The sequence below is a fragment of the Homo sapiens genome, chromosome 12 (assembly GCF_000001405.40).
Source record: "Homo sapiens chromosome 12, GRCh38.p14 Primary Assembly".
Classification (NCBI taxonomy): Eukaryota; Metazoa; Chordata; class Mammalia; order Primates; family Hominidae; genus Homo; species Homo sapiens.
This window is the reverse complement of record NC_000012.12, coordinates 26,937,389-26,951,456: the sequence shown is the minus strand read 5'-3', so window position 1 is coordinate 26,951,456 and position 14,068 is coordinate 26,937,389. Positions and strand designations below refer to the sequence as shown.

At 39.5% G+C, this 14,068-nt stretch overlaps 2 protein-coding genes across 19 annotated transcripts in view, besides 4 other annotated features; one reads left to right on the top strand and one right to left on the bottom strand.

Moving 5' to 3' along the window:
• Positions 1–12,987, bottom strand: part of FGFR1OP2 (FGFR1 oncogene partner 2) — a 28,179-nt gene extending 15,192 nt beyond the window's left edge. For all 3 annotated transcript variants that reach the window (NM_015633.3, NM_001171887.2, NM_001171888.2), the window contains exon 1: positions 12,747–12,987. The gene's annotated coding sequence lies outside the window, so the exon portion shown is untranslated. The remainder of the gene's footprint in view (positions 1–12,746) is intronic.
• Positions 12,153–12,661: an enhancer, noted in NCBI's record as "H3K27ac hESC enhancer chr12:27091729-27092237 (GRCh37/hg19 assembly coordinates)". NCBI's record gives its function as "activates a minimal SCP1, AML or CMV promoter by ChIP-STARR-seq in primed H9 embryonic stem cells {active_cell/tissue: H9 hESC(primed)}" and the evidence as "EXISTENCE:reporter gene assay evidence [ECO:0000049][PMID:30033119]".
• Positions 12,554–12,623: a silencer, noted in NCBI's record as "silent region_4306". NCBI's record gives its function as "represses an Ori minimal core promoter by ATAC-STARR-seq in GM12878 lymphoblastoid cells {active_cell/tissue: GM12878}" and the evidence as "EXISTENCE:reporter gene assay evidence [ECO:0000049][PMID:35858748]".
• Positions 12,662–13,171: an enhancer, noted in NCBI's record as "H3K27ac hESC enhancer chr12:27091219-27091728 (GRCh37/hg19 assembly coordinates)". NCBI's record gives its function as "activates a minimal SCP1, AML or CMV promoter by ChIP-STARR-seq in naive and primed H9 embryonic stem cells {active_cell/tissue: H9 hESC(naive and primed)}" and the evidence as "EXISTENCE:reporter gene assay evidence [ECO:0000049][PMID:30033119]".
• Positions 12,884–12,933: an enhancer, noted in NCBI's record as "active region_6130". NCBI's record gives its function as "activates an Ori minimal core promoter by ATAC-STARR-seq in GM12878 lymphoblastoid cells {active_cell/tissue: GM12878}" and the evidence as "EXISTENCE:reporter gene assay evidence [ECO:0000049][PMID:35858748]".
• Positions 13,125–14,068, top strand: part of INTS13 (integrator complex subunit 13) — a 33,152-nt gene continuing 32,208 nt past the window's right edge. For 10 of the 16 annotated variants that reach the window (XR_007063105.1, XM_047429147.1, XM_017019634.2 and 7 more), the window contains exon 1: positions 13,476–13,661. The gene's annotated coding sequence lies outside the window, so the exon portion shown is untranslated. Of the gene's footprint in view, positions 13,190–13,475; positions 13,662–14,068 lie in introns of those variants that run through there. The other 6 variants (XM_024449055.2, XM_047429145.1, XM_047429146.1 and 3 more) reach the window with 1 other exon arrangement.

Genomic DNA, 14,068 nt, shown 5'->3' with positions numbered 1-14,068 from the left:
TACCAGCTACTCAGGAAGCTGAGGCAAGAGAATTGCTTGAACTTGGGAGGCAGAGGTTGTAGTGAGCCAAAATTGCACCACTGCACTACAGCCTGGGCAACAGGCTGTCTCAATAACTAACTAAATAAATAAATACAAAAATTAGCCGGGCCTGGTCGGGGGGTGCCTGTAATCCCAGCTATTTGGGAGGCTGAGGCAGGAGAATCACTTAAACCCAGTAGGCAGAGGTTGCAGTGAGCCATAGCACCACTGCACTCCAGCCTGGGCCTCAGAGTGAGGCTGCATCTCAAAAAAAGAAAAAAAAAAAATCGTATACCTTAATTCAGCAGCTAAGGTTTAGCTTCCCTGCCTCCGAGCAATTATAAACCTCAACTGAATTAATCAAAGCATCTTCAGAGGTTATTCTAGGTCTTTAAACCTCATGTTACCATGCATAGTAAATCCCTATTGCTAAAGGAAACCATCCAAAATTTCTATCATTTGAGTAATCATGAAATATTGCTACTCTCTCTTTTTCATATTACCATTCACTGTGTAACAGTATTAATCCAGCAACCTTTACCTACTGCAAGGAAAATCTCATGATTGTGATTCCATAACTCAAGAAGTATTCAAGTCCAAAACAAAACTTTTGAATTTTCTAGTACCAAATCCTGACTTTACTGTTTGTTAATGGGTTTTATCTTAAAAACAAAAATCAGCAGTATCAGGCTTGATATGCAACAGGTACATCAGTCACTGTGATAAAATTCAATTTCTTACCAGAAGCCAGACTGATCAAATGACTTAACTGTGCTCCACTAAGATGGAGCAACTTACTGAAAGTAAATATATACATGAATAGGTGATATGCTTTTAGAATAATCCACTTCTCTGAAATGCTGCAAAGAAAAGAGGTTTCTCAGATATCCTTTTAAAAACAATGAATACAGGGCAGGTGCGGTGGCTCACGCCTGTAATCCCAGCACTTTGGGAGGCCGAGGCGGGTGGATCACGAGGTCAGGAGATCGAGACCATCCTGGCTAACACAGTGAAACTCCGTCTCTACTAAAAATACAAAAAAAAAATTAGCCGGGCGTAGTGGCATGCGCCTGTAGTCTCAGCTACGCAGGAGGCTGAGGCAGGAGAATAGCGTGAACCCGGGAGGCGGAGCTTGCAGTGAGCCGAGATTGTGCCACTGCACCTCCAGCCTGGGTGACAGAACGGGACTCTGTCTCAAAAAAAAAAAAAAAAAAAAAAAAAACAACGAATACATTAACTACTTGATGGCTTGATGGTAGCTGCCTAATATAACTGCTATCATAAAGGTAGAAACAATATTGTAGATACCATAGAAATACCTTAAAGTTCGTTACTATAAGCGGGATGCTTTGACTAAATGTCCTTATGCAAAAGCCTCATATGAAACTGTAAAATAAACCCATGAAGAAGTTAAAAGACTCCATGATAGATACACAAAATTTGGCCTGTCAAATTTCAAAAGAACCATTGTGACCATCAAGTTGTAAGATCCATGAAGATAAAAACTGACATAATCAGAATGGCTACTTGATAGTACCACATAACACCTCAAACAGGGCCAGGCACGGTGGCTCACTCCTGTAATCCCAGTACTTTGGGAGGCTGAGGCAGGTGGATCACCTGAGGTCAGGAGTTCGAGACCAGCCTGACCAATAATGATGAAACCTCATCTCTACTAAAAATACAAAAATTAGCTGGGTGTGGTGGCATGCGCCTGTAATCCCAGCTACTCGGGAAGCTGAGACAGGAGAATCGCTTGAACCCGGGAGGCAGAGGTTGCAGCGAGCCAAGATCGCATCATTGCACTCCAGCCTGGGCAACAAGAGCAAAACTCTGTCTCAAACAAAAAAAACCTCAAACAGATACTACTCCATGAAACATTTCATTTAAGTAGAAAAAAATGGCCACAATATTAAACACGAATGGGAAAACTTACCTTGGATAGCATAGGATACTGGTTAATTCATGCTTCATTTGTAAATAAATTAATCTGGAAAAACTGTAGGCCAGGTGTGGTGGTGCACACCTGTAATCCCAGCACTTTGGGAGGCTGAGGTGGGTGGATCACCTGAGGTCAGGAGTTCGCGACCAGCCTAACATGATGAAACCCCATCTCTACTAAATACAAAAAAATTAGCAGGGCGTGGTGGTGCAAGCCTGTAATCTGAGCTACTTGGGAGGCCAAGACAGGAGAATCGCTTGTACCTGGGAGGTGGAGGTTGCAGTGAGCTGAGATCGCGCCATTGCACTCTAGCCTGGGCAACAAAAGCGAAACTCCATCTCAAAATGAAAAAGAAAAACTGTAATGGTGAATCAACGACTAAAACCATTCCTGAACAACTTTCTGAACATCTCTAAGAAGATTTTATGGAGTTGCCTCTCTCCATGGTTTAGAAATATTTATTATTATTTTTTTAAGTTTAGTTATTTTTAGAGGCGAGGTCTTGCCATCACCCAGGCTGGAACTCCTGGACTCCAAAGACCCTCCACTTCAGTCTCCTGAGTAGCTGAGACTATATAGGTGCATGCCACCATGCCAGGCAATATTCTTAAATATTCTAGTATGTTTACGTTATGAATACCTTAGAAGAGTCCCCTACCGAAAAGACACAATATTCACAATGACTAAAATACTGTATTTTGTGTATTCTCCCAAGCGCATTCTAACTTGTCATCCAATAATATAAAAACATATTTAACTTCAATAGTTGAAACTTATACATTTCGATGATGTAACACTTTGCTTCCTTCTAAGAAACCTTGTCTTCATCATTCCCAGTCCTCAGGAAACCCCAGGCAGGAGTTTCCAACAAGATCTAACTCCAGACACGTTGTAGTCACATTTCCAAAAACTAAAGACAAAGAGAAAATCTTGAAAGCAGCCAGAGAAAAATGACATATTACTCATAGAGAACAATTTGAATGACTGTAGGCTTCCCAACAGAAATGAAGGCCAGTAAAAAGTAGAACAACACTTTCAAAATGCTGAAAGAACAGACCTATCAACCCAAAATTCTATATCCAGCAAAAATATGTTTCATATATGAAGGTGAAATAAAAGTCATTCTCAGCTGAAGAGAAAGAAGAACTTATTTCCAGTAGACTTATTATAAAGAATACTCTTCAGTTAGAAGCAAAGTGTTATCAGAAGGAAACTTAGAACATCAGGAACAAAGGAAGACCAACTGAAATTGTAAATATCTGGGTAATTATTTTCCTCTTAGTTCTTTTAAATGTCTAATGTTTAAAAACAAGAATTATAACATTTATCTAATGAGATTTTTAATTTATGCAGGCAAATATATAACTACAAGAAAAAGGGAGGAGGCTAAAAAGGCCTATACATTGATCAGATTTCTACATTTCACTTGAAGTTGTAAAAATATCAATTTTAAGTAGACTTAAAAATTTACATATATTGTAATTCCTAATAAATCCCTAAAATAACTGCACAGAGATAATAGTCAAAACTACAATAGATTAATTGAAATGAATTAAAAAGTGTTCAATAACCCAAAAGACAGAGAAAAGGCAAAACAAAGGAATATCAAAGGAACAAAAAGAAAACAAATGATAAGATGGCAGAACTAAATCCAAACATGTTAATAATTTCACTAAATATAAATGTCCTCGACATTTATATTTAGATAAGATTAAGACAGATGATCAGAATTTTAAAAGAGGACCCAACTATGCATTGTTTATATAAAATTCACTTTAAATATGATATGGGTAGGTTAAAAGTAAAAGGACAGGCCGGGCATAGTGGCTCACACCTGTAATCCCAGCACCTTAAGAGGCCAAAATCGGAGGATTGCTTGAGCCCAGGAATTCAAGACCAGCCTGGGCAACATGGCAAAACCCTGTCTCTACAAAAAATTTAAAAATTAGCTGGGTGTGGTGGCACATGCCTGTAGTCCCAGCTACTCGGAACGGTGAGGGCGCAGTCAACCCTGGCTGTGCCACTGCACTCCTGCCTGGGTGACAAAGTGTGACCCTGCCTCCAAAAAAAAAGTTAAAAGGATGGAAAAGAGGATATACTGTACAAATATTAGTCAAAAGAAAACCAGAGGGCTAATAAGAACATGAAAACATGCTCAACATAACTAGCCATCACTGAAATGCAATTCAAAACCACAATGAGATATACCTACTAGGATGGCTATAATAGAAAAGATAGTAAGTGTTGGCTAGGATATAAAGAATGTGAAATGGTATAGCCACTTTGGAAAAGTCTGACAGTTCTTCAAAAGGTTAAACATGTGATCCAACAATTCCACTCCTAGGTACATACCAGGAAAATGAAAGTATGTCAATGCAAAAAACTGTACATGAATGTTCACAGCAATATTATTCAACTGATAAATGAGTAAATATGATGTGTTCATACAGTGGAATATCTGGCAAAAAAAAAAAAGTAGGGGGGAATGATGCCCTGAAACAGGCTACAACATGGATGAAAACTGAAAAAATTATGCTCAGTGAAAGAAGTCAGTCACAAAGACAATGTATCACGCCATTTATATAGTGTCCAAAAGAGGCAAATCCACAGAGGCTGAAAGTAGATTAGTGGATGTCTAGGACTGAGGGATTAGGAAAAGGAAGGAGGAATGGGAAGTGACTGTTAATGAACATACGGTTTCTTTTTGCGCGGGAAAAATGTTCTAAAATCAATTTTGTTGATGGTTACACAACTCTGAATATACTGAAAACCCTAAAAGTGTACACTTTAAATAGGTGAATAGTATGGTATGTGAATTACATATCTCAATAAAGGTGTTATATTTAAGAAAAGAGCTAGAGTGGCTATATAATATCAGACAAGGTCAGGCGCAGTGGCCCACGCCCATATAATCCCAGCACTTTGGGAGGCCAAGGCTGGCAGATCATGAAGCCAGGGGTTCCAGAACAGCCTGGGAAACATGGCCAAACCCCACCTCTACTAAAAATACAAAAAATTAACCGGGCGTGGTGGTACACACCTGCAGTCGCAGCTAGCTGGGAGGTGGAGGTAGGAGGATCACCTAAGCCCAGGAGGTTGAGGCTGCAGTGAGCCACAATCACGCCACTAAACTTTAGCCTGGGCAACAAAGTGAGACTTGCCTCAAAAAATAAATAAATATCAGACAAAGTAAACTTCAGAGAAAAGAAAATTACCAGGGACAGAGGAACATTACATGATGATAAAATGCCCAATCACCAAGAAGACATAAGCATCCTAAATGTATATACAACTATAATTAAAGAGCTTCAAAATACAAATGCACTAACTCAAACAACTGAAGGGATATATAGGCATATCCACCCTTACTGCTGAAAAATTAAACATTCCTTTCTCAGTAACTGGCAGACTTTGTACACAAAAATCAGCAATATAGGCAAAATGAACAGCATCCACTAACTGGCTTGAATTGATATTTATGAAATGCTACAACCAACAACAGCAGAGTACACATTCTTTTTAAGTGCTCAAGATATTCATGAGGATAGATCACATCCTGGATCACAAAACAAACCTTAACAAATTTAAGAGAACTGTAATCATACAAATTATGCTTTTTTTTTTTTTTTTTTGAGACGGAGTTTCACTCTTGTTGCCCAGGCTGGAGTGCGATGGCACATTCTCGGCTCACTGCAACCTCTGCCTCCTGGGTTCAAGCGGTTCTCCTGCCTCAGCCTCCCGAGTGGCTGGGATTACAGGCTCATGCCACCATGTCCGGCTAATTTTTGTATTTTTAGTAGAGATGCGGTTTCACCACGTTGGCCAGGCTGGTCCTGAACGCCTGACCTCAGGTGATCTGCCCGCCTAGGCCTCCCAAAGTGCTGGTATTACAGGCGTGAGCCACCACGCCTAGCCAGTACAAATTATGCTCTCTGATTATAATGAAATTAAACTAAAGTAAGTAATTAAGAGATAACAAGAAAAATCTCCAAACATCTGGAAGTTAAACAATGTACTTCTATATAATAAGTCAAAAAGGAAGTTTCTGGAAATTAGAAGATACTTTGATCTAAATAAACATGAAAATACAAAATATCAAAAATTTTGGCATGTATGTAAAACTCTACTTTGAAGCAAATTTATAGCATTAAATGTTTATATTAGAAAATTAGAAAGATCTCAAATCAATTATGTAAGCCTCAACCTTTAGGAACCTGGAGAAGAAGAGCAAAATAAACCTAAAGTAAATAGAAAGAAATAATAAAGAGTAGAAATCAACGAAATTGAGAACAAGAAAGCAACAGAGAAAACCTAATGAAATAAAAAGCCAGTCCTTGGAAAAAAATAAAAATTGAAAAACCTCCTGAAAAATTAACCAAGAAAAAAAGTCAGCAGACATAAATTACTAATGGAAAGAAGGGATATCAGGAAAGATGAGACATCACTACAGACCTCTAATTCCTTAAAAGGATAAGTGAACACAATAATAAATTCCATACACATGAATTGGATAATTTAAATGAAATGGACTAATTCCTCAAAAAACACAAACTACATAAAGTCACACAAGATGAAACAGACAACTATGAATAATCCTATTATAATTATTTTAAGAAACTGAATTTGTAATTAGAAATCTTCTGCAAAAAATCTCCAGACCTGGATGGCTTCAAGGACAAATTCTATCACACATTTAAAGAAGAAATAACACCAATTATTATACAATCTCTTAAAAAAATAATAGAAAAGGAAATACTTGTAATTTTAATCTCATAAACTGATGTCAGTATTACTGATACCAAAACCAAAGAGAATACAAGAAAACCACAGACTAATATCCTTCATTAACATAAATAAAAAATCCTTAAGGAAATATTAGTAACTCAAATTCAGCAACTCATAATGAGAGTAATATACCCTGACCAATGGGAGTTTATCCCAGATTCAAGGCTGTCTCCAATGTAATCCACTGAAGAAGAAAATCACTTATGCATACCAACTGGCATATTATTAAAAAATTCCGCATACTTTCATAATAAAAATTTTCTGCAAGCTAGAAGAGGATTTTTTTAAACTGAGAAAGGGCATTTTCAGAAAACTTACAGCAAACGTCATACTTCATAATGAATGACTGACTGCTTTCCCAATAAAATTAGGAACAAGGGAAGGATGTCTGCAGTCACCAGTCCTGTTCAATACATTGGTGTAATAAGGCTAGGAAGGGGGGAAAAACCATACAGGCTGGAAAAGAAGAAATAAAACGGCCCCTTTTCACAACCAACATTGTTGTCTATGTAGAAAACCCCAAAGAATCCAAAAAAGAACTCCTAAAACTACTACATGATTTTAGCAATGTCACAGGATACAAGCATAAGAATCAACTGTTTTTCTATATACTGGCAACAAACAAATGGAAACCAAAACTTTTTTTTTTAAAACACACATTTACAATAGCAAAACAAAACAAAACAACAACAACAAAAAAACACAAAAAACAAACCCTGAGATTCCTGGGCACAAATTAAAACATATGCAAAATTTGTTTGCTGATAACTACAAAATGCTAATGAAAGAAACTAAAGAGGATCTAAAAGAATGGAGAAACATACTGTGTTCATGGACTGGAAGACTCAACATAGTAGGGAAGTTTTCTTTTTCTTTTTTTTGAGACAGAGTCTTAGTCTGTCGCCCAGGCTGCTGGAGTGCAGCGGTACGATCTTGGCTCACTGGAACCTCCGCCTCCTGGGTTCAAGCGATTCTCTTGCCTCAGCCTCCAGAGTAGCTGAGATTACAAGCGTGCGCCACCACGCCCAGCTAATTTTTGTATTTTTAGTAGAGATGGGGTTTCGTCATGTTGGCCAGGATGGACTCGAACTCCTGACCTCAAGTGATCCTCCTGCCTTGACTTCCCAAAGTGCTGGGATTACAGGTGTGAGCCACTGCACCCAGCCGAAATGTCAAGTTTTCTGTAACTGTTGTACAAACAGTGCAATTTCCAGTCAAAGTCCCAGCAAGATTTTTTTAGAGAAATTGACAAGCTAATTCTAAAATTAGCTTGGAAATGCAAAGAAACTAGATAACAACAAAACAACTATGAAAACAAAAAAAGTTGAAGAAACTATTTGTTTTCAGTTTTTTTCACACTACCAAAGTTTAAGACTTACTATAAAGCTACTTCAATCAAGGTGGCATAGAGCTGATAGAAACAGAAAAGGTTTAGAGACAGGGCCATACAAAAATGGCCAATGGATTTTTGAAAAAGGTGCAAAGGCAAGTCAAAGGAGAAAGGTTGGCTTTTTTCAACAAATGGTGTTGGAAGAACTGGACATCTATATGCCAAAAGTTTAATCCCAACATAATTCCTACACTTAATACAAAAATTAACTCAAAATGGACCATAAGTCTAAATATAAAATTAAAAACAATAACACTTTCAGGAAAAAAATAAGAGAAAATCTTTGTGACCTGGGGTTAGGCAAAGGTTTTTGTAAACATGATACTAAAAGCATGATTCATAAAAGAAAAATTTGATAAACTGGACCTCATCAAAATCACAAACTTTTGCTCTGGGAAAGACACTGTTTAGAGAGTTTGAAAAGACAAGCTACAGGCTGGGAGAAAATATTTCAAATCACTTATCCAACTAAGGACTTGTATCTAGAATACAAAAAAGTCTCTCAAAACAATAAGAAAATAACCCAAATAAAAATGAATAAAAGACTTTACTAGTGAACCAAAAAGATATGGACAAATAAGAAACATGAAAAGATGTTCAACATCATTAGCCATTAGAGAAATGCAATTAGAACCATCATGAAACCTGTCCTCTTAAAATGACTATCTATTTCTGCATCAATACCACATTGCCTCAAATGTAACAGCTGTAAAATAAACTCTCCCTATCTAATATGTATAAGTCACTGTTTTCTTCTTTAAAATTGCTTCACCTATTTGCCTTCTCTCTAACCTAATTCTATCCAAATGGATCTCTAGAGTACCCTAGAGGAAAATCAAACTGTTACGTAATAATTTTAATTAATTCAAACTGTTGGTAGCTTTCTGAATCTGAGCAATAACTAACTACCTTATACTGTCATTTGGGCAAGAGGACAAGTGTTATTCCCACTTTACCAATGAGAAAATAGACCCAGGAATTCCAAATCTAAAAAGCTGAGTGGCTCACGCCTGTAATCCCAGCACTTTGGGAGGCCAAGGCGGGTGGATCACGAGGTCAGGAGATCGAGACCAGCCTGACCAACATGGTGAAACCCTGTCTGTACTAAAAATGCAAAAACTAGCTGGGTGTGGTGGCGCACGCCTGTAATCCCAGCTACTCTGGAGGCTGAGGCAGGAGAACTGCTTGAGCCCGGAAGGTGGAGGATGCAGTGAGCCGAGATCGCACCATTGCACTCCAGCCTGGGCGACAGAGCAAGATTCCATCACAAACAAACAAACAAACCAACAAAGCTGAATGACAGCACCACAAAGCAAGGAAAGAGCCAAACTAGTACCAAAAATAGAATTTCTGATCCCCAGTCTAGTGTCCTATTCCTAAGCCACACTGGATTCCCAGGGTCCTGTTTGCTTTTTACCTGTATAGAAATAATCTCAATCTCATCAGGTGGAAAACGAAAAAAAGTAAGTTCTCTGACCCTACCCAACACATGGAACATCCAAGATATTTTTTAAAATTTTCAAGCCAGCCATAGAAAAGAAATGGGAATGTATATGAAGACAGATTTTAAAGAATAAAAAAATTTCAAATATTTTCCAGACATAACAGCCTAGCAACCATTTTAATTAGGTGTCACAGTTAATTACAAGATCAATGAATGTTTACTGATTGGCTTTTTAAAGTTGTAATTAATATCCACTTTATGAAAAACACTCTCTCCTCTCCAGATTGCATAATGAAATACTACTATCAAAATCAACTACATTTAAAATTTGTTAACTATAAAAACCTACCTATTCAGGGAAAGGAATTATAAGCAGCAGGTAGCTCAAAGCATAATTTTTTTTAGCATTTCAGAAACACAGTGACAACAGTTTCTAAGAATTTGCATGTTCATTTCCTGTACGTGAAACCACACACACAAAAGTTTAAAATATTTTATAATATGCATTTACTTTATCACCTTTTTTGAAGACCATTGTGCTTCCCCTCTTTTTTGGCCAGGAAGTGGAGTGGGAGGAAGAAGACTGTTTTCCAAACTCTCTAACAAGTTTCAAATTTTAAAAAACAGACTACAGTAAAAAAGGAATATTCTAAACTTTTCGGCCTATTTTTATAGTGCCTACCTTAACTGGCCATAATACACTTACTTACATTATTTTCTATAGGCGGGTCCAAATTACAGGTGAATCTCTTTTTTTTTTTAGCAAGTTAAAAAATTTTTTTTTCTTTTCTGCATTAGTCACATTCTCGCCCACTTTACCACCCAAAGACTTTTGCAGTCAGACTCCTGGCAGAAGGCTTAGAACATTCTGCTGCTGATAAAAGAGAAACCACCACCCACCCAAGACAGCAACTGCCAGCTGTTTACTTTTAGATTTTGGTTAAGAAAAATTTAAGGAAATTCAAGTCAAAATTTTCAAGCCAACCTCAGAAAATAAATAGGAATATAAATGAAATGTAAGAGAAATTAAAGACGAAAAAAATTTCAAATATTTTCTAGGTAATTAATAAAAGCCTAGCAACCATTTTAATTAGGCATCACATTAATTGTAAGATCAATGAATGTTTACTGATTGGACACTTCTGTTTCCCTTATCTGCAAATCCACTACTCCTACCACTACATCTACACAGAAATATTGTGGCTACTGATACACCACAGATCTGTCTTTAAATGTCAACAATCTAGTTTAAATTTTTTCATGTTCAGGTATGTGTCTCTAATATTAATTAGTACATAATATGAACTGACCCATATGGAAATAAAAAAACCAAAAGGTATAGTTATGGTTTTCATATAAACTTATAATCTTATGAATGCAAGAAAGAACGCATATAAATTACATATAAAAATAAGCATTTATAAAGGCACATCGCTGTATGTGAAAGCAAAGAAAATTTTCACTGTCCTTGAAAATAGTGGAATGAATACATGTTTGGAACTGTATAAAGACACTTTCTGAAGAAAATTAATTTTTAAACTTGGAAGAAAGATTTTGGAAGTAATGACACTGGAGGATTTTTTTAAAATTACACGTTCCCTTAGAATTGTGGCTGAATATAAGTTTCACATACATATGTTCAAAGAGTTGTGACAGTTCAAGAAGGAACTAACCTAATCTAAACCAGTTATTTCTAACCTACAGGCTAAGGAGTCAGTAGAAGAGTTGCCTGAATGCACATACTCCAAGCACTGTCTGTAGTCTAAAACATTTCTGCTCCATTTCTCAAATATAAATAGATACTGTAAAAATAAAATACAAAATCATTTAAAAGCATAGTAGTTTTCTGTCATTATACATAATTTCAACCAACAATTACTAAAAGTCCAATTGCATGTGTATTAGAAGTACAGGGTTTCTCATAATCAAAATAGGTCGGGACCTTTAAGCTAATGTACAGAGTTCCTTCTGGCCCAAAATTCTATGATTTTAAAGGATGAAGAACTCTTACGGTGAATTCCTTAGAACTATTCCATTTCAATAAACATACATATGTATATATAAATAATGCTTGCTATGTGCCAAGTACTGGACTTTTTCTCAGAGATGAGTAAGACATGATTCCAGACAGACCCAGGTTCAAATTGGCAGGAGAGACAGAAACAAATAATACAACCTAATAAATACTGCAGAAGAAAAGTTTCAAATGCGTTGGGAGCACAGCGGTATCAATGTCACCTGGGGGAGTCTGAGAAGACAATGATTTATGAATTGGGTTTTGACAGGTGGTAAAATAGAGGAACAGTAAACATCCTAGACATCCGCACGTACAAAAGTACAGAGCTGTCAAAGCGCATGGCATGTTTGGGGAAATAGCCAGTATAGTCTTGTATGGTAGGATATTAAAGCAGGACTAAAAGGTAAAATGGATTGGGGCAGACTGTAAAAGATCCTGAATGATGATGTGCTTAACAATTAGGATTTGATGCTGTCAGCAATACGGTTACTAAAAAGTTTAAGGAAAGGACAGAGATAAATATGTATTTCAGAATAACTCTATGGAAGGATTATAGTAGGGAAACCAGTGGAGGGCGGGGGGCAGAGGGGGCAACCGCACTAATTCTGGCGAAAAAAAAAATAATACAGTGCAGTGTTAAGTGGAAATGAAGAACCAATGATGATTCCTGGTTTTCTAGTTCGGATAGCAGGACAGATACTGGAACCATTATCAGAGATGGGATAGAGAAGAAAGGCAGGAAGAGAACCAGAAAAGAGTAATACCCCTTGGAGAGCAGTTTCAAGAAACAAGTTATCTTCATTAAACGCTGCAAACAGGTGACTGAAAGGGTCCCCCGTCCGGTGGTGAACTCGCAGGTGGGTAAGGCAGGATGAAAGCAGATACGGAAGGTGTGTCCACAGGGTTAGAGCCAAGGCTTTTCATTGAACTTTCCGCACCGCATCTCCATTAAGAGGAGCTCGGAGTCGGGGGGCGCGGAGAGGAAGTCCGGCTCCCAGGAGCAGGGAGCCCGCGGCGGGAAGCGGACAGGGCCGGGCGCCGGTGGTTCAAGAGGCGCAAGGCACCGGCCCCGGCGAAGGACTGCCCCGGCAAAGGACGCCTCCGACTCGCCCACCCCTGCTCCCGTCCCTGGATTTAGTCCACTTACTCTGCTCTTAGTCCCTCGCAGCCTTCAGCTGTGGCGATGCGGACTCAAACCCTCTACCAACCGGGACCTATGCACTCAAGGGAAGAGACTCCGCGCCCCCCTAATCCGCCTCCTCAGCAAGCAGACGCAGAATCGGACGGAGGCAGCGGACGGAAGGCCGGGAAGCCAGTGGCGTTCAACGCCATCACCGGCGGGGTAGACACCTCCGCCGACCGCCTCCGACCGGCGCTCCCGGAGAACTCCAGCCTCGCGAGATTTCTTTCCTCGCGTTACTGTGGGGCAGAACCGACCACTCTCCGCTTTGCCCCAGAAGGCAGGGCGGGGCCCTTCTATGTCCCTCCCTATTCCTCCCTTCCCAGGCTTTCGCTCGGCCTCTCGCAAAGTCTCGCGAGTTTTTCCAGGGGAAACCGGCCTGGGTGGAGAGACAGAGAAGGGGAGACCGGGTGGGTGGGTCGTACGCTTAGGGGGCCGTGGTTGGTACTTCGCTGTTGGGGAGGCTTTCAGGTCGCCCAGATCCTGCTTCCCAATGGGTGACTGGGAAAATTAGCGGGTGGAAAATCTCGAGGGGTGGAGGCTTTTTTTTTCCTCCTTGGCCCCGCCCTCTTCCTGTTCGGCGACTGGGACGCCTGGCCCTACGAGGGGGAAGGGAGGCTTGGCCGGGCTATCGGAGAGCGCTGTGCGCACGCGCGAGCCCGAGTGCGTGTGTGTGTGTGCACGCGCACGCGCGCTCCTGCTCTTAGGAAGCCTGGGAAGGACCGGTGTGCTAGGAGATGATCGGGGAAAGCATAGTCCCCTGTCTGTGGCACCAGACACTCCCGACTGTGCGCTGACTCTCCCCGCCCAGCCAGCAGCCTTTTCCAGAGAGGCTGTGGTCCATAGCCTCTGTTCGTTTTCACTGCAGGACCAGGCACGAAAGTAAGCGAACCTCGATCCTGAGGTCTTCCCTATCCACTCACCTTGTATTTTCCACCCCCCACCCTCCAGCAAAGTGGGTCTAGAAGGTTTCTCAAAGAGAGTTTTGCATGAAGGGGAGATGCGTCTTGAAAGCAAGAGGTGAAAATAGCTGGATCGTAAGAAATCAGTTCGTTTTGATTTAACACTTTGGCTTTGCTTGCCATGTGCTTTTCGAATGTGGATTGTCTATTCAGTATAAGATTTTGTTAGCGAAGCAGGGGAGTACCGTATGCTCTGTTTTAATAAGAAAAAGTTTTAAAAGTTTTAAATTTCCTTCTACACACCAGTGTGATGGTAACAACTAAGTTTTTCTGCTCTACCTGGTAAATTACTGTGATGTTTCAAAAGCTAAGGGGAGAGTGTGAAGT